Here is a 21,050-nt window from a genome sequence, read left to right as displayed (position 1 = left end):
CCCCTCAGTCAAATTCTTTGGTATGAGGAGGGTGGAATTGAAATTGCTATAAACTAATCTAGGTATGCTGCCAGTAACTCGAGTAATTCAGGTTCCTGCCACTAGTAATAAAAAGTCACTCACAGCTGGGCTTATGCCTGTAATCCCAACACTTTGGGAGGCCAAGGTGGGTGGATCACCTGAGGTCAGGAGTTTGACAGAAGCCTGGCCAACATGAGGAAATCCCATTTCTACCAAAAATACAAAATTTAGCTGGAAGTAGTGGTACATGCCTGTAATCCCATATATTTCAGAGGCTGAGGCAGAAGAATTGCTTGAACCCAAGAGTCGGAGATTTCAGGGAGTTGAGATCATGCCATCACACTCCAGCCTGGGCAACAGGAGCAAAACTTCATATCCAAAAAAAAAATTAACACCCTTCAATATTATGTAAGGAAAAAATTATCATTTTCCTACCAGTCCCTGGTAATACTAAAATATTCTACACCCATTTGGGACAATAATATACTTTCCATGATGAGTGCCTATTTAATATTCTCCCAGATTCTGATTCATCTTTTCCTTTAATAGCCCTGTTTTTCCTAGATAAGCAACCTAAATTATTAGCATTAATCTCAAGCTGGATATTCTTACCTGAGGGATTTTAAATAGCCTACACTTATGCAAACAAGCCCTAACAAAAAATCTGAGTAATCTTTTGAGAGTTATTAATCACTGTAAGTAACCTTCTTATCTCCCCTTCTCTGTAAGATGCACATACCAGCAAACTACAAACCATAATCTTCCAGAAGAAAAGATGTCTTTTGTCCAATTCAAAAGTTACAAAGTTTAAACTGTATTTTTAATAAGAAAAGTTATTTTTAAGTTATTATATGGGAAAGAATCATATATGGTAAGTTCTTATTCTAAAGCAAAATGAACAGTTGTTTAAAAGGGGAACATTTAGAACAAGTCAGAAAGTCCAAGCATGTTGTAGATAGTCAGTGTAAGTCATGAGAAAATTAGTGGAACAAAAATTACTTTAAAATATTGTATGGAATTAATGCACAATAGTTTCTCTGAAATTATTCTTTATGCTGTGTCTAATTAAGCTCAAATAATTTTTATATCAAGTTGAACATTTGGATTGTCTAAATAGGCTACTAATAAGAATTGAAAGTCAAACTACAAAAGAACTTTTTTTTACTTTTGAATAATTGGCTTAAAAATTTATTTTCTAGAATTCTGAAGTTTTACTTTCCAGTAATACTGCAAATAAAATATTTGTCTCTCCCCAATAATGCCGGCTACTTTCCTGAATCTCCCCTGAATTTACTGAACACCAATTTTACCTTAACATGCTTCCTCCTTATAACAAAATTCAATCCTTAAGTTTCACAATCCAGAAAAATGACCTACAGGATCTCCAGAAAGATGAACAATAGGGCCAGTATTATGCCTACAGTCAGCAGGAAGTAGTTGAAAAATATGATTCCCCATTCCAATGCCAAAAATTTCTCATTTTTCTGTCAGGTGGAGAAAGGGAAGTGCTGATAAGTAAATAACAATGAGTAAGTGGTCCCCGGTGGGGAAGAAAAATTGTTCTGAGAAACAGTTAATTACAAACAATTTACTGTCATAACATTCTGCTTCAACTACCTCTCTCTGCATACAGTTCTAGCACTGGGATTTTGTTCACCCTGTAGTGCCTCCAGCATGGCTCTATAAAACTTTCCACCATGCTCTGCCTCATTGCAGACAGCCTTTCTCTGTGTGCTGCATATTGCACCCCTGCAATGTATCTTTGTACTTTCTCTAATAAATCTGTATTTACCTGTGATTGGCTTGGTAAATTTATTTACCACTCAGCCACAGTTGCAACACATTGCTCTCAAAGTATATCTGAAAATTTGAATTTTAAAAAAATTATGTTAATAATAGAGTTTTAATAATAATGTAATATAGCGACTCAAATGTGATATATTTTACAATTTATAGAAAACACACAAAAGCAAAAAAAAACAACAGAATCTGATGCTTTTTAGGATTACCTCTGCAAACTAATGTCTCACTTAACATGTCTCACACTTTTCTTTATGTATTATTATGTGGATAATTTAATCTTTGTTAAGAGCTTCCATTCATTACCATCACCTTATTTAACCATGCTTTACTGTTGTATGCTTCCATAGAATACCTTTATTCTCATACAGTAATAATCTCTGGAAATACGCCCTGATAAATACCTGAAAAAAAATACTTACTGTGTTTAAGTTTCTGAGATTTGGCCCAAGGGTTTTACCAAGTAACATTAGGGAAGCTAAGAATTCAGAGGAGCCTGTCAATTTTATTCAGTGAAATTTAGGTAGAAACCTGGACTGAGGGAAGACACTAAGCATCCCATTAAATTCAGGCTTTGTTCTCCCATGAACAGGCTGTCGCACTGCAAATTGTCCTATGATTTTATATAATTTCCAGGGACAGTGGGGAATAAGGATTGTCAATCTAAAATAATTAAAAATTTAAAATCTAGTTTAATTAGAATGTCTTTATCTACCTAATTTTAGAATAGCCAGAGAAGAACATACACTCAAGTTGCCCTGAATATAAACTCCTATTAGCAACAGTTACAAGAGGGTTTGTAAAAAAAAAAAAAAAAAAAAAAAAAAAAAAAAAAAAGGTCATTTCAAAATTGTTTTTCAAGGATTACATTAAGATATACCTCACGTAGCTTAGATTTCTTTGAGCCATTTCTTTTTTATTAGAACACAGAATGATTTCTCTGGTCAGACATCTCATTTCTTTCTGCTACCACCATGGTATTTCCACCCATGTATGCTCATGTGCTGTAGGTAATGATGAGGCTGTGTTTCTCCCAAGACAAATGTTCAAGTTCAGAAATTACTCCCACAATGTATTTGCTCCCAGAGGTTCCCACCAAAAATCTACATAGGTGCTTAGGAAACTCCTGGTGTATTCCTACCCCCAGACCCTGATTAAGGGACAGCATCATGGTTTTGTTACCACTTTGGCTTCTGGACCACTTGACTATAATCTCATTCTTATGGACACAAACAAATCAGAGCATAACAGTATCTGTTCCACTATCTGTACCACACAGCAGTTTTTCCACCAAATCTGCATTTTTTTCACACATCAGTTCTAGATAGCAGCTTTCCCTCATCTGCCTCTTTTTTTTTTTTTTTTTTTTTTTTTTTTTTTGCCTCACAAGCTCTTTTATGTGCCCACAATCTGGCTGAGTCCACCTCTCAGTTGCCTAAACTCAGGACTCTTAAAATTCAAATTCCCATGAATTTAAGACCAAGTTGCTGAACCTAGTTGTTGTAAGCATTAGGTACGAACTGGAAGTATAAAAAACAAATTAGAAAAATTTCCAACTGAAAAATAAGAGAAACATTTTGATTTATTTTTTAAAACATTTAATTTAAAAAGAACTTCTATAAGTAAATTTATTCTCTGTCTGTTTGACATATATGTAAATAATTTTAACAGATATACAATTCTTTTTTTTTTAACTCAGAAATATCTTCCTGCAGGACCTTGGAAACATTGCTTTGAAAAGTAAATAGCAAAGATATTGGAGCCCCATCCCACAGTCTATGTAAGAGCATAGAAGCCAAATTCAGCAGTCTCCTGGCTGCAATTTGAAAAACTACTTCAAGTCATAAAGAAATGGCGACAACATTCTTTTTTATTCACATATGCCAATTCGCAAATACAGATGGTTTCCTCAAGCACTTGATGATTTTTTTGATGAATAGTGTATGACAGATGATGCTGTCAAGTTTTCTACTTGAGGACTAATTAGGGAAACCTTCTGTTTTTGCAATATTTTAGAAGATTACCTATGATTTAAATCACATGCAGGTTTAATTATATAATATAAGTTTTCTTTCTGTTCTGTCATTTGGAAGAGGTTTTATGGGAGTTGGGGACAATTTTTATTTTAATTATACATTGTACAGAATTACCAGATAGTATGTAAACCTATGAGATGCCTACCAGGCTTTACTCTAGTGACAGTTTACCTCTAAGGCATTCTGTCATAACTGACAGTTGTGCAGTAATATGCAAACTGTATCTAAATTCTGCAAGTAGAATAGTGTCTCTTCCTATTTGAGAGTTACTGTGTCTGCTAGAGCAGTTAGACCAGATTTCTCCATAAATAATGAGGCAGCAGTCAACCAGCTTTCCCCTTTCAATGCCCTTGGCATTTTTACACTTATAACTGTTTCAAGGACCATAGAGCATTTAAACTCATCCAGGTTTACACAAGTGCATTAAGTAGATCTGAAAATTTTAATGACATTCTCCTCCTTTAGCTATAATGTCCATAGAGGTTTAGAGAACACCTCTGCATTCTCACACTTTGAATACCTAAATCTGCAACTTCAAATTATGTATCAAGTTTCTGGTATTTGAAAAACAAAAGAAAAACTTTTATCTGAGATATGCAAGTGACGTTATTTATCAAGCTTAAGGAGACATTGAATGAGATGCTAATCATGTCCTTTTTTTTTCATTATACTTTAAGTTCTGGGATACATGTGCAGAACTTGCAGGTTTGTTACATAGATATACATGTCCAATGGTGGTATGTTGTACCCATCAACCCATCATCTACATTAGGTATTTCTCCTAACGCTATCCCTCCCCCTGGCCCTCACTCTCTGTCCATGTGTTCTCGTTGTTCAACTCCCATTTGTGAGTGAGAACATGTATGGTTGTTTTTCTCTTACTGTGTTAGTTTGCTAAGAATGATAGTTTCCAGCTTCATCTATGTCTCTGCAAAGGATATAAACTCGTTCTTTTTTATGGCCGCTTAGTATTCCATGGTATATATGTGCCACATTTTCTTTATCCAGTCTGTCATTGATGGACAGTTGGGTTGGTTCCAAGTCTTTGCTTTTGTGAATAGTGCTGCAATAAATATACGTGATGATATAAACATATGATATAAATATACATGATCTCCATTCTTTTTCATTTTCTGAGGAGTGTTTTACTTTCAATTATGTGGTCAATTTTAGAAAAAATGCTATGTGGTGCTGAGGATATATATTCTGTTGATTTGGGCTGGAGAGTTCTGTATATGTCTATTAGGTCTGCTTGGTCCAGAGCTGAGTTCGAGTCCTGAATATATTTGTTAATTTTCTGTTTTGCTGCTCTGTCTAATACTGACAGTGGGGTGGGTGGGGTATTACAGTCTCTCAGTATTATTGTGTGGGAGTCTACATCTCTTTGTAGATCTCTAAGAACTTGCTTTATGAATCTGTGTGCTCTTTTATTGGGTGCACTTATATTTAAAATAGTTAACCCTTCTTTTTGCATTGATCCCTTCATCATTATGTAATGCCTTTCTTTGTGTTTTTTAAATCTTTGTTGGTTTAAAGTCTGTCTTGTCAGAGACTAGGATTGCAATCCTTACCTTTTTTTTTTTTTTTTTTTTTTTTTTTTTTGGCTTTCCATTTGCTTGGTAAATATTCCTCCATCCCTTTATTTGGAGACTATATTTTTCTTTGTCCATGAGGTGGGTCTACTGAATACAGCACACTGATGGTTCTTGACTCTTTATCCAATTTGCCATCTTGTGTCTCTTAACTGGGGTATTTATCCCATTTATATTTAAAGTTAATATTATTATGTGTAAATTTTGTTCTGTCATTACAATGTTAGCTGGTTATTTTGCACATTAGTTAATGCAGTTTCTTCATAGTGTCAATGGTCATTACAGTTTGGTATGTTGTTGCAGTGCCTGGTACCTGTTTTCCTTTCCATATTTAGTGCTTTCTTCAGGAGCTCTTATAAGACAGGTCCAGTGGTGATGAAATTCCTCAGCATTTGCTTGTCTGTAGAGGATTTTATTTCTCCTTCACTTATGGTGATTAGTTTGGGTGGATATGAAATTCTGGGTTGAAAATTCTTTCCTTTAAGAATGTTGAATATTGGCCCCTACTCTCTTCTGGCTTGTAGGGTTTCTGCAGAGAGATCTCTGATCTGTTAGTATGATGGGCTTCTCTTTCTGAATAACCTGACCTTTCTCTCTGGCTGCCCTTAACATTTTTTCCCTCATTTCAACCTTGGTAAATCTGATGATTATATGTCTTGGGGTTGGTGTTCTCAGTGACTATCTTTGTGGTGTTCTCTGTATTTATTGAATTTGGATGTTAGCCTGCCTTGCTGGAAGGGGAAATTTCTCCTGGATAATATCCTTAAGTGTGTATTCCAACTTGGTTCCATTATCCCATCACTTTCAGGTATAACAATCAAACATAGATTTGGCCTTTTCACATAGTCCCATATTTCTTGGAGGCTTTGTTTTTTCCCTTTCATTATTTTTTTCTCTCTAATCTTGACTTCATGCTTTATTTCACCAAGTTGATCTTCAATCTCTGATATTCTTTCTTCTATTTGATCAATTCAGGTATTGATACTTGTGTATGCTTCACAAAGTTCTCGTGCTGTGTTTTTCAGCTCTATCAGGTCATTTATATTCTTCTCTAAACTGGTTATTCTAGTTAGCACTTTCTGTAACCTTCTATCCAGGTTCTTTGCTTCCTTGCATTGCGTTAGAACATGATCCTTTAGCTTGGAGGAGTTTGTTATTATCCACCTTCTGAAGTCTACTTCTATAAGCTTGTCAAACTCATTCTCTATCCTGTTTTGTTCCCTTCCTGGCAATGAGTTGTGATCCTTTGGAGGACAATAGGCATTCCAGTTTTTGGAATTTTTGGCATTTTTGCTCTTCTTTTTTTCTCATCTTTGTGGATTTATCTACCTTTGATGTTTGTGACCTTAGAATGGGGCTTTTGCATGGGCATTTTTTTGGTTGATGTTGAAGTTATTGCTTTCTGTTTTTTAGTTCTCTTCTAACAGGCCCTTGTCCTGCAGGTCTGCTGGAGTTTGCCAGAGGTCCACTCCAGACACTGTTGGCCTGGGTATCACCAGCAGAGGCTGCAGAATAGCAACAATTGCTGCCTGCTCCTTCCTATGGAAGCTTCATCTCAGAGAGGCACCTGCCAGATGCCAACCAGAGCTCTCCTGTATGAGGTGTCTGTCAACCCCAACTGGGCTCTATCTCCCAGTCAGGAGGCATAGGGGTCAGAGATCCATTTGAGGAGACAGCCTGTCCCTTAGCAGAGCTTAAGCCCTTGTGTTGGGAGATCTGCCCCTTCCCTCAGGTGCTCCATCCCAGTGAGATGTATGCTTTATCTATAATCCCCTGACTGGGGCTTCTGTCTTTCTTTCAGGGATGCCCTGCTTAGAGAATAGGAATCTAGAGAGGCTTTCAGGCTACAATAGCTTTGCTACACTGTGGTGGGCCCTGTCCAGTTTGAACTTCCTCGTGGCTTAATTTACACTGTGATGGAAAAACTGCCTACTCAAGCCTCATTTATGGTGGACACCCTTCTCCCAATTTAAGCTTGAGCATCACAGGTTATCTTCAGACTTCTGGGCTGGCAGCGAGAATTTCAAGCCAGTGGATCTTAGCTTGCTGGGCTCCGTGGGGGTGGGATCCACTGAGCAAGACCACTTGGCTCCCAGGCTTCGGCCCCCTTTCCAAAGAAGTGAATGGTTCTGTCTCACTGGCATTCCAGGTGCCAGTAGAGTATGGGGAAAAAAAAAAACTGCAGCTAGCTCAATGTCTGCCTAAACAGCTGCCCAGTTTTGTGTCTGAATCCCAGGGCCCTGGTGGTATAGGCATGCAAGGGAATCTCCTGGTCTGTGGGTTGTGAAGACTATGGGAAAAGTGTAGTATCTGGGCTGGCCCCTTGCATTTCCCCTGTTAGGGGACTCCCCACCCTGCTTCTGCTCACCCTCTGTGGGCTGCACTCACTGTCTAACCAGTTCTAGTGAGATGAACTGCATACCTCAGTTGGAAATGCAGAAGTCACCCACCGTCTGTGCTTGTTTTGCCAGGAGCTGCAGACCGGATCTGTTTCTATTTGGCTATCTTGCCAGCCTTCTTGTAATCATGTCTTAATTCCTTTTTTGAACTATGTATTCATTTGTTGAAACAGCTAGCTTCTGCCAGGAGGAGCTACATTTTAAACTACCTGATGCCATAATACCATAGGGGATGTCATAGCCTACACCATATATAGCCAATTACTAATAAATGTTATTTCTGTAGGCCAATAAAAATTTTGACCAACAATGTTTTGTGAACCCATAACTTGTCCTTCATATTTGCCTTTAAGAATCCACTTGTAACTATCACTAAAGGGTATATTTAGGACAATTTAAATCTATGCTCTCATGTTATAATTCTTAAGCTTGGCCCACATAAACTTTCTACTCATATTACTTTCATCTCATCTCATTTTTTACAGGTTGACGTATTCCTTCGAATGTTTTAGAGTAACCTCCATTAGGGTCTCTTTCCTCTGGTTTTACTCCACTTGCTATAACCTAAAGAATGCAGATCCAGGTAGATTCCACCTAAATTTTGTACACAATTTCTGGCCTTCACATGAAAATCACAAGAAAAGTCAAGACTTTAGATTGAGAATATACAGAAAACCTACTGGGGCTTAAAAAGAAAAAGACTGAGTGAACACAGAAATCTTAATGATCTTTTATCAGAGTAAGTTCTTTTAAGCTCCCATGATCTTGTTCAGTGATCTGTTAGAGATAGTTCTATGAGAGGTTCCTAGTGTGTACAGAATCTGGGGGTGGAATTTGTAAGTGAAAACAATCACCTTAGCTATGAGAAGTCATGGTCACACAATATCCTGAGCCATGACCACAGCTAAACCCAGCCAAAAACTACCCCATGACCACAGCTAAAAACAGCTGAAAACTGTGCTGCTGGGATATTTTTCCTTCTTTCCCTTCCTTCCTTCCTTCCTTCCTTCCTTCCTTCTTTCCTTCCTTCCTTCCTTCACTTCTTCCTTCCTCCCTTCCTTCCTTCCTTTCAGATGGAGATTCACTCCTGTTACCCAGGCTGGAATGCAATGGCACAATATCAGCTTACCAAAAATTTCACCTCCTGGGTTCAAGCAATTCTGCTTCAGCCTCCCAGGTAGCTGGGATTATAGGCACCCAACATGACACACAGTTATTTTTTTATTTTTTTTTTTTTTTGCATTTTTAGAAGAGAAGGTTTTTCACCATGTTGGCCAGGCTGGTCTCGAACTCCTGACTTCGTGATTCACCCACCTCAGACTCCCAAAGTGCTGGGATTACAGATGTGAGCAACCAAGCCTGGCCTTGTTCTTCCTTTTAAACTAGAGTTAGCTGATCAGTGACCAACAATACCGCACCTGAATCCAGAATCTACAGTTCCACAAAGTTAGATTTATTATTTACTTTAACCCTGCAGAGTTAACTTGAATCTATTCTTCCTAGATCACCATGGAGGCTTCAGCCCAGGCTCACTGGAGACTTTTGCACTAGTACAAGGGAGTCTTTGAGCTATTTGGGACATCCATTGCAGATTGTTGTCAGACTAACAACATGGTCTAATTCTGCTTCCATTTTAAACAAAGAGGAATGAGTCATGCAGGGTTTGTTTTTCCCTTCTTGGACGGAATCTCATTGGTTGATACCCAGTTGGAATTTCTGGGACCTTCTTGAAAATGAAGAAGTAGGTATAAAGATGTAAATTAATAAATCAATTGCTTCCATTTAATATGAGCATTAGAAAACATACAAGGAAGTCATGCTTCCTATAATTCAGAAACTTTCAGTCTAGAACAAGTGGATAAATTGTTAAATTTGGCATGATGTTGTCAGGAATGAGAAGAAAAATCTAGAGAAAACTTAGGCTTTATTTGAGCCAATTTCTTTATATTATTGGGAGTTCTCATTGCCACCATCAGAAGCAGAAAAGTTGTTATTGTTAGTATTATTTATACTGTCTTTACCTTACTAAGAATACATTTTTAGCTTCTAATGGAAATGTTCTAAAAAACCATAATTTGGTTAAATTGCCTGTTGCTGTATATTATCAAATGGACAGGAAAATGACGAAAATGAATTACAATTATACAAACTTAAACTGTAATCCCTAGGTGTTGTGAGAGAAATCTGGTGGAAGGTAATTGGATTATGTGGGCAGTCTTTTCCATGTTTTTCTTGTGATAGTGAGTGAGTTTTTATGAGATCTGATGGTCGGGCTTAGAAAACAAAGACCTGTAATTACCCTGCAACACAGACATAATAACTTTAGGGCTCCCTCCCTGCCCTCTCCTTGCTTAGATCTAGCCTATTCTGAGGCCTTATCAAGGTATTGTACCACCTTGAAATTTTCCACTCATAGAATTGATTAAAGGAGATTAGAGAGTGAGGTGGATGCTCCTGCTGCAACTCCAGAGCTGCTACTCCTAATTTTTGAAGGTAATGTAAATAAATGGAAGCAAGACTGTATTTTGTTCTTGATTTGTCTTTATTAATACAAGTCTTTCTAGAGACATGGCACCCAGCAACCTACTCTCCACTCCCAGGGATTTGCTAGTTGCCACACAAGTCAGAAAAATGTAAATATAATTAAAACAATAATAATTTCCTTTGAACTACACTTAATTATTTCTTTATTCCTCACACCTGTCTGTATTATATTTTATTCTATGTGTTATCTTCTTGAAAATAAAGTTAGCGACATAGAAAAAGAAACAGAAAGAAGAGGCTTTCTATTTTATTTGTGGGAAATATGTTACACTGAATAACAACCTCCCAGGGTGTTATGAAAATTAGTCCATATAATGTACAGTTCCAAGCACAGTGCTTTGCAACATACTCCTGAGCACATAGCACATTCTCAGTAAAAATTGCATTAATGTCTGTGCATATATCCTTTTTCAAAAGCAGACTTATTCACACATTGCTGTCTTCTCTAACCTCTGTAAACTTTATAGGGCTACCAGAGAATGTCATGTTTCTGGCTCGTGATTGGTGGTCTTCAGTTTTGATCATAAGTATCTGAGTTGTGATAAGAGTGTTAGGTTAATGGACTGCGTACTGTATCTCTTTTCACTGCCTGAGTGCTGCTGATAATGGGGTGAGGAGAGCAGCATAAACTAACTCATAAACTCACTTCAAACTTGTAGGATCACAGTATTTAGAATGGGGCCTACATCATATAATTCAAATGTACATTAGAGCTTCAGAGACAGTGCTTAGCTAAGTGGTTTTCAGCCCAGTCTCTCTGTAAGAAACACACGGTCAGTTTAAATAAATACCATCAACTATGTACTCTACCCTGGATGGGAGCATCCATGCTGCTTAATTAAATGTCTCCTGTGATTCTTTTAATGTTGTTGTTTTGGAGACACAATCTCAGTCTGTCACCCAGGCTGGAGTGCAGTGGTGAAATCTCAGTTTACTGCATCCTCTACATCCTGGGTTCAAGCATTTCTCCTCTCTCAGCCTCCTGAGTAGCTGGGATTATAGGTGCATGTCACCAAGCCTGGCTAATTTTTTGTATTTTCATAGAGATGGGGTTTCATAATGTTGCCCAGGCTGATCATGAACTCCTGAACTCAGGCAATATACCTTCCTAGGCCTCCCAAAGTGCTAAAATTACAGGCATGGGCCAGCACACCTGGCCTGCCCTTTGTAATTCTAATGTGAGATCTGGGTTGCTGTATTAGTCTGTTCCCACACTACTGTAAAGAATTGCCTGAGCCTGGGTAATTTATCAAGAAAAAAAGGTTTAATTTACTCAAATTTTCTCATGGACAGGGGATCTTAAGGAAATTTACAACCATAGCTGAAGGGAAAGCAGGTATGTCTTACATAGTGGCAGGTGACAGAGAGAGTAAAGGTAAAAAAGAGGGAAGTGCTCCTTGTAAAACCATCAGATCTCATGAAAACTCACCATCAAAAGAACAGCATGGAAAAAACTGCTCTCATAATTGAATTACCTTCCACCAGGTCTCTTTCACAACACCTGGGGATTACAATTTAAGATAAGCCTGACCATATTAGTCATGAATAAGGACTCCAAGATACAGTGATGAAAGTAGAATTCAGCCTGTCTTTCAAAGGGAGGGCACACAAGGCTTCCTGTACTTGATTTTGATAGGGGCAGATGAGTGTGACATTTTGTATTAGTTCATTCTCCCGTTGTTATACAGAACTACTTGAGACTGTGTAATTGATGAAGTGAAAATTTAATTGACTCATAGTTCCACAAACTATATAAAAGGTAGGTCTGGCAAGGCATCAGGAAACATACAATTATGGCCAATGGTGAAGGGAAAGCAAAAATATCTTCCCATTGCCAGGAGGAAAAAGAGCAAAAGAAAGAGACAATGAGAAAGAGAGAGAGCATGCACAAGTGACAGAGGAAGTGTTACACTTTCAAACAAACAGATCTCCTGGGAACTCTGTCATAATTATAGCAACTGGGAAGTCCACCCCCACAATTCAGTCACCTCCCATGGTCTTCTGAGAACTCTATCACAATAACAGCAAGGGGAAAGTCCACTCCCACAGTTCAATCACCTCCCATGAGCACCCCCACACCAACACTGGGAATTACAATTTTTCATTGGATTGGGGTGGGGACAAACAGCCAAAGCATACCATTCTGCACCTGGCCTCTCCCAAATCACATGTCCTTTTCACATTTTAAAACACAGTAACACATTCCCAATCATTTCACAGAGTTTTAAGTCACCTCAGTATTACCTCAAAAGTCTACATCAAAAGGCTCACTGAGACAAAGCAAGTCCCTTTCACCTATGAGCCTGTAAAGTAAAAAAAAAAAAAAAAAAAAAAAAAAAAAAAAAAGTGAGTATACAATGGGAGTATGAGTATTGGATAAATGCTCTCATTCCAGAAAGAAAAAAAGTGACCAAAACAAAGGAGCTGCAGGCTCCATGAAAGTCCAAAACCCAGCAGGACAGCAATTACATTTATAATTTCCTAAACAATCTCCTTTGACTCCTGTCTTACATTCAGGGCATACTTACACAACGGGGTGAGTTCCTGAGGTCTTGGACAGCTCCATCAATGTGGCTCTGAAGATTTTGTGACTGTTTTCAAGGGCTGGTGTTGAGTGTCTGTGGCTTTTCCAGCATATGGTTTAGGCAAACATATCTACCATTCTGCAAACATTGGATCTACCATTCTGGGGTCTGGAAGATGGTGGTCTTCTTCTTACAGCACCACTAAACAGTGTCCTAGTGGAGATCCTGTGGGGGACTCTAAGCTCACATTTCTCCTCTTCACTGCCCTAGTAAAGGTTCTCAATGAGAATTCTGACCCTTCAGTAGTCTTCCGCCTGGACATTCAGCATTCTTCATATATCCTCTGAAATCTAGGTGGAGGTTCCCTAACCTCAATTCTTGCAATCTGTGCACCAACGGACCCAACACCATATGTGTGCTTCCAAGGCTTGAGGCCTGCACCCTCTGAAGCCATGGGCCAAGGTGTAACTTGGCCCTTCTTAGCCACAGCTGGAGGAGTGGCTGTAATGCAAGGTGCCATGTCCTGAGGCTTCACAGAGCAGTGGGACCCTGCTCCTTGCTCACAAAATCATCTTTCCTTTCTAGGTCTTCAGGCCTGTGATGAAAGAGCTGAATACTTCCATAGCAGCAGAAAAACTTGATGGAGTCTTTGACAGGAGAGGGAACTTGAAGGCAGGAAAGGAGAAGCACATTTTGATCTTTATGTAGGAGTTCATTGTTTCTGACTCATTTCTGCAATAAACAACAGAAAAGATTAAATATTTTATTTATCGCTAGGTACTTCTGCCTGGGGGTGTGGTGGTAGCTGGTGAAGCGGTGGTGCTGAAACTTTTAAAATATATTCTCAAAATGAATGTGTGGTTTGTTTAGAGGCTCTCACTTGAGAGGAAATTTCAGAGAAGGAAAAATAATAAAATGTCATGTTTTCAGATGAATTTGCCCCAGTTTAGTGTGTCCACTTTTCCTCCCAAAACATTATGTTTTTAGAACTCACAAACCTTTACTCCATAACTGGTGATGTTCCTGCCTAATGTGATTGTTTCAAATGATTTTTAAAAATTCTTCTGTTAGCCAAAGAGCTCTGTAAAATTCCTCCTATCTTAATAACAGAACCTTCCTTTCATTCTCTCTGTTCACACTTCTTACATTCAATGATTAAATATCATTATAAATGTATAACATGCAATATTTAAAATCGGTGACTTTTGGCTAGGTATGCTTGCTCACACCTGTAATCCCAGCACTTTTGCAGTCAAGATGGAAATCTCCTTGATTTCCAAGAGCTTGAGATCAGTATAAGGATCATAGAAAGACCCATCTCTAAAAAATAGTATTAAATAAGATAAAGTTTAGCTAATGTGGCGGCACATGCTTGCAGTTTCAGAAACTTAGAAGGCTGAGGTGGGTGAATTGCTTTAGCCCAGTAGGATGGGGTTTCAGTGTATCATCATTGTTCCACTCCACTGTAACCTGGGTGACACTGTCTCAGAAAAGTGATCTTTTTGTGACAGATTAACTTGGAGAGGTGTGGACACCCAAGATTTCTATTGAGAATGAGTACAGTTTTTAGATATTAGTGAAGAAGAAAAACAAGGGCTGTTTAGGATCCATCTGGATGCTCCATTAACTGTATACAGAACCGATTTTAAAAATGCACATGTTACCAGCACGGCATTAACTGCCCAAAATTATTCAGAAAGTTCTCAATGAGAATAATAATTAGAAGTGAATTGATTTCTAGGATGCTAAGGAAAAGCTATTTAAATACACTCTTAGGGATAGCAGAATCTGGGAGGCATCTGTATCTTCAGCATTTTGTAAAACTATTTTTGTAAAAAAATTAGATTTTGATTATAATGTACTGCTTTTTTACCAGTAGAATTCTGGCAGTGATGCTCTGCCCTGTGTATGCATTAATTCACCCTTGATACAAATTTTTTACTATAGTGTATGTTAATTTTATTTACCTCAATAAATTGCTGGTAGATTTTTTTCTATAGCATTAATTTTCTTTTTTATTATTAATAATGTACTTGAGGATATATACTAGCTGACTTAAATAAATTATGACATTTAACCTGGAAGCTCAACATCCTTTTCAGAATCTCTTAGCTTATAGCATGCTTTAGAAAATGAAGATTGTCGTCTTTGTTTACTGGTCAAATGACCTAACATAAACCATGATTATGCCATTTTTCACTCTTTGACAAAATATTCTCCTGGGGCAGAAGGACTGACATCTCTAGATAACTCATTAGAAATTCAGAAATTCAGGGTCTATCTCAAATCTCCTGGGTCAAAACATGCATTTTAACAAGCTCTCTAGTTTATTGTTTTACACATTAAAATTTGAGACGTACCTCCTAACCTGCCATGACTTCTCTATGAGAAATATTTACAACTTACCCTGTATGATGCAAATAAATAAATCAGTAAAAAAAATTACTGTGTTGATGCATTGAATTTTATGCTGTCTAATCTATAAAAGCATATTATTTGCTTTAGTTCTGTAGATTTCATGCCATCTTTTCTCAGTGTTACAGAATACATTAGAAAATATTTCTGTGTTAAAAATTATCTTATTGAGTGATTCCAGTCACTCATATAAGACAGAGCCAATTCTTTTAGTTTTCATCTGGAGTAGAATTAATACCTCTGCCTATGTCGGAGATCTGATCTACCTTAAACTACAAAAACTTGATCTTCCTGGGTTAAGATAACTCCTGGGTTAAGATAAACACTAAGGGTTTTACTTATTTATTTATTTTTGGTGAATATTTTCTGGGAGTATTCACTTTGCATAGATTTCAGATTACTGCCTTCAATAAATTATTGAAGACATCTTTATGTGAAATATTCAAGCTGTTTTCTTTTGACATAAATCTTTCCCTTCCTTGAGCTGATCTATATTCTTCATTCTACTTTTGTAGTACTTGTTAAAATTTAGTAACATAAAATGTCTGTACTCATACCTTAAAATTCCATTTCAACCATCATTTTTTGTTTGATTCAGTAGTACTGGGAAGCAAAGCCAAGAACCCATACATTTGAAATACTTCCAAAATATTATAAAGATTCTGTTAAAAGATTATTTTAGAATTAATCTGTTAGAGTCTTCCATAATATTCTTTCTTCTCTGTTGATTGAGGTACTAGGTTTGTAATTAGTGAATTCTAGTCATTATATTTTCATAATAAAATACATCTTGCTTACTCTAAGCTAGACCTGATCACTTATCTGAAATTATTATTTTTTAAATTCTAGTGGGGGGCTAGGGGAGGGATAGCATTAGGAGAAATAACTAATGTAGATATCAGGTTGACAGGTGCAGCAAACAACCATGGCACAAGTATACCTATGTAACAAATCTGCACGTTCTGCATGTGTATCCCAGAACTCAAAGTATAATTAAAAAAAAATTTTTTTTAAACTGCCAAGCATCTGGGTAAATAGGAGTGAATGAAGCAGATGAAATTAGTGACAGCTTCAAAAATCAAGGAAACAGCCAGGCCTTGCAACGTGTTTGAGAAAGCTATTTTCCAATGAAAATAATTTCTAAGAAGGCAGGGTTACTCTGTCTCTTTCTGTCTTATATGATCACCTTCTGTAATATATTCTAAAATTCTCCAAGGACTCTACTTCTCCTTAAGTAATCTTTCTTTTATAGTGAGAACCAAAGTTTTCTTTATAGATTATATGGCACTTAATGACCTGACTCCTCTTCCATTATTTTTGGAAACATAAGACTATTTATAATTTGATAAACTCTATGTTAAACTAATTATTTAAAATTTTCTGCATCATGTCTGAAATACATGACAGTAAAAATCCTCACGACCACACTGAATAGATGTTCTATGTTTCCACATATTTCTGTTTTGTTTTGTTTTTTCTAAGGAGGTTTCAATGTGATTCTACTAAAATTCTACTCAGTAATTTTATCAGAACACTAAGACTTCCTAAATGTAAAAAACTGTAATATTGTTTTTCTGAATAATGTTATACTTTTAGTGTAAACTGAGATTAATAAATTAACCTCTGTATGTCTCAATTAATTATTAAATTATATTATATTTTAATGTATCTACCTACTTCTTAATTTTTTTAATACACTAGGTCATTGAGGCGTTTAGAAAATTGCTTAGCTCATATTAAACTTTCACTTCTTCACTTTTTTTTTAACACAAGGTCTAACTCTGTCATACCAGTTGGAGTGCATGGGTACATTCATAGCACTCTGCAGCTTCAAGGTCCTTGGCTCAGTAATTTCCTTGTCTAGGTTTCCTGAGCAGCTGGGACTACAGACCCACATGCCATCATGTCTAGCTAATTTATTAATCTTTTATAGAGGTAAGATCTCATTATGTTGCCCGGACTGGCCTCAAATATCTGGCCTTAGGCCTACCATAGTGCTAGAATTAAAGGCATAATCCATCTTTCCCAGGTCCTTTTTATTAAGTATCTTTTTATATTATTTTCTTTAAAATAAAGTATACTAGGACTTTTTTATGTATGTCTGTGTACATATACATTTACACACACATATGTGTAGGTGTAACTTGAATTTTTTCACAAATAAAAATTAGGTAACTATTTATTGATTCATACATTTATTTACTTTGAGATAGAGTTTTGCTCTGTCACCCAGACTGGAATGCAGTGGCCTGATCTTGGCTCACTTAAACATTTGCCTCCTAGTTTCAAGTGATGCTCCTTCCTCAGCCTCCTGAGTGAAATGGGAAAAGTGTCTTTATAGCCCTCAGAGAATTTGTAACAGGAGGGTGGCTTGCTACCTCAGTGTCCCACTGTTTCAATTCCTAGGAGGAGAATGCAGACAAGCATATCATGGAAAACATTTTTGGGCTCTGACCCCATGTCTAGGCTTGAACGTTTACAGCTCTCAGAGCCCCAGTGGACATATGTTACACTGTGCACTTCCAGCTTTTCTGTCTGCAGGTGGGTTTTTTTTAACCAGCTCAATTAGACTCTCTGCCATCACAAGGAGAGAGGGCTTTCTGTACCTCAAGTTTTTCCCCCAGCATACCAAAAAAATTAGATCGAGGACTTGGACGATAAATGCAAAATTTTACTGAGTGGTCAAGGTAGCTCTCAGTGAGATGGGTGGGGTGCCAAAAGACAGGTGGGATGGGAAGGTGGTCTTCCCCTGGAGTCGAGTCACCCAGCAGCCAAACTCTCCTCTGACTGTTCCCTGCCATATTCCCATTGGCATTCACATTTTCTGCTGTTGATGGCCTGCCAGTGTCTTCTTGTGTCTGCTGGTTGCTGCCAGTGTTTTCTTCTGTTCCTCTCAAAGTCCAGCTGCTTTTGTGTCTGTGTCTGTTCCCGCTATGGTCTCAGGTTTTTATGGGCACAGGATGGGAGACATGGTGGGCCAATAGGCAACTTTTGGAGCAATACCTGTTCTCGTTTAGGTCCATAGGTACACACTCAAGGGTGGACCCTCACCTGGGAACTTCTTGTTTTCTACCCAGCACTTCCTTCCCCCAATCCTGTATCATTTTCCCTCTCTAAAGAGGTACATCTAACTGCCATTAGAATATAGTTAATAACAGGTCTTAGCTGCTTCCTATTGACAATGGGCATTGTTTTGGGGAAAATGGCAATCAGATTCCTTCCAAGGGATCCTGGCAAAGGGGGCCATTGTCTGAAGCTACAGTTGCCTGACCATTTGAAGTTTGATGGCCTTTAAGTAAGAGATAAAAAATAAGTTTTATAAGGTTAAATATTCATGTCTTAAACATGTGTATTATATAAGAAAAATATTCAGTGTGAAAGATTGCAAAGATAAGAAGGGAAATATACAAATAATAACATTGTACCCTGAGCTGTTTCACCTGGTGAAAAAATTAAACCTAGTATAGGAGTGGTTAAACCTTAGAAGAGAGGTAGCTGTTCTTGCCATTTATTTAGTAGTTAACAGGTATACCCGGGAAATTCTGGGGCTTGGGGGTTTGCACAGTGGCCATTAGAGTTTCCGTCTCTTTCTTGTGTCTACCTTTCTCTATTGTAAAAGACAAAGGTGGCCACTTTCAGGAGGTCCTCTAATGTACTATCTGGTCCCAGGGTCCATTTTTGCAACTTTATCCTAACATCAGGGGCTGCCTGTGTAATATATTTATCCTTTAGGATTAGCTGTCCCTCAACTGAATCAGAATATAGAGAGGAGTTTTTACCAAGGCTTCTCTTAGCTTTTCCAGGGAAGCAGTGGACTTGTCATCAAATGCCTGGTCAGTCATACACAACTTAGTATAATTAAGATGCTTGGTGTGGGTCAGACGTGAGCACTCCATTATGTTTTCCTGAAAGTGTCTCCTTTTCCCGTCTCCCATCACATCATTGTGATCCAACTTAGGGTTATTCACTGGTACTGTTTCTCTTCCACTTAGATAATCTTTGACCCCTTCCTTGATGCTACATGTGATACAATGCTCATCCCCAAATCCCTCTGCTGCTTGCAGAGTGGCCTGCTTTAAAGTGTCCATTAGGGTTATAACATCTCTCTAGGAGAGTTCAAATATTTGGGTGAGTTCTTGAAAGCTTCTGTATATCTGTCAGGCTTATCTGAAAACTTGCCAAGACCTCCCCGGATTTGCTTCAAGTACTATAGGGAGAAGGGTACCTGGACCTTCCTGGGGCAAAATTCACCAGGCATCAGTTGGAGGGGCAAGAGTGATATTGGGGCATGTTTAGGGCCATGATTTTTAGGAGGGGACAAGTGAGAGGCTGAAGCTGTATAGGGAGGTTGGGGTTCCCCCAGAGAAGCAGGGCTGGAGGGAGCTTGCTCCTCTGCTGGAGGTGCCTATGTGATTCATATCTTGAATTCCCCGGGCTTTCCCCTTGCAGCCTTCCCTGGAATGGCAAACAGGAGGGCTAGATCAAACCTGCATGGTCAGCAAAGGTCTGGATTGCCTTGCAAGGTATAGAAAGTGTGCACACATGGAGCTTCATACCATCTGTCCTCATGTCTACAGAAAAGTTCCCATTACTGGGTATATACTCAAAAGATTATTAATCGTGCTACTATAAAGACACATGCACATGTATGTTTATTGTGGCATTATTCACAATAGGGAAGATTTGGAACCAATCCAAATGTCCATCAATAATAGGCTTGATAAAGAAAATGTGTGTGGGGGCGCGGTTCCAAGATGGCCAAATAGGAACAGCTCCAGTCTACAGCTCCCAGTGTGAGTGACACAGAAGATAAGCGATTTCTGCATTTCCAACTGCAGTACCAGGTTCATCTCACTGGCTTGTCAGACAGTGGGGGTAGGACAGTGGGTGCAACCCACTGAGTGTGAGCTGAAGCAGGGTGAGGCATCACCTCAAACAGGAAGTGCAAGGGGTCAGGGAATTCCCTTTCCTAGCCAAGGGAAGGGGTGACAGAGGGCACCTGGAAAATTGGGTCACTCCCTCCCTAAAACTGCGCTTTTCTAACGGTCTTAGCAAATGGGACATACAGGAGATTACATCCAGCACCTGGCTTGGAGGGTCCCATGCCCACGGAGCCTCACTCATTGCTAGCACAGCAGTCTGAGATCAAACTGCAAGGCAGCAGTGAGGCTGGGGGAGGGGTGCCCGTCATTGCTGAGGCTTGAGTATGTAAACAAAGCAGCCAGGAAGCCTGAACTGTGTGGAGCTCACCACAGCTCAAGGTGGCCTGCCTGCCTCTGTAGGCTCCACCTCGGGGCAGAGCACTGCTGAACAAAAGGCAGCAGAAATCTCTGCAGACATGAATGTCCCTGTCTGACAGCTTTGAATACAGTAGAGGTTCTCCCAACACGGAGTTTGAGATCTGAGAATGGACACACTGCCTCCTCAAGTGGGTCCCTGAACCCCGAGTAGCCTAACTGGGAGGCACTGCCCAGCAGGGGCAGACTGATAACTCACATGGCTGGGTAACCCTCTGAGATGAAGCTTCCAGAGGAATGATCAGGAAGCAACATTTGCTGTTCAGCAATATTCACTGTTCTGCAGCCTCTGCTGCTGATACCCAGGAAAAGAGGGTCTGGAGTGGACCTCCAGCAAGCTCCAACAGACCTGCAGCTGAGGGCCCTGACTGTTAGAAGGAAAACTAACAAATAGAAAGGACATGCACAACAAAACCACATG

The sequence above is a fragment of the Homo sapiens genome, chromosome Y, assembly GCF_000001405.40.
Source record: "Homo sapiens chromosome Y, GRCh38.p14 Primary Assembly".
NCBI lineage: Eukaryota > Metazoa > Chordata > Mammalia > Primates > Hominidae > Homo > Homo sapiens.
This window is presented reverse-complemented; position numbering follows the sequence as displayed.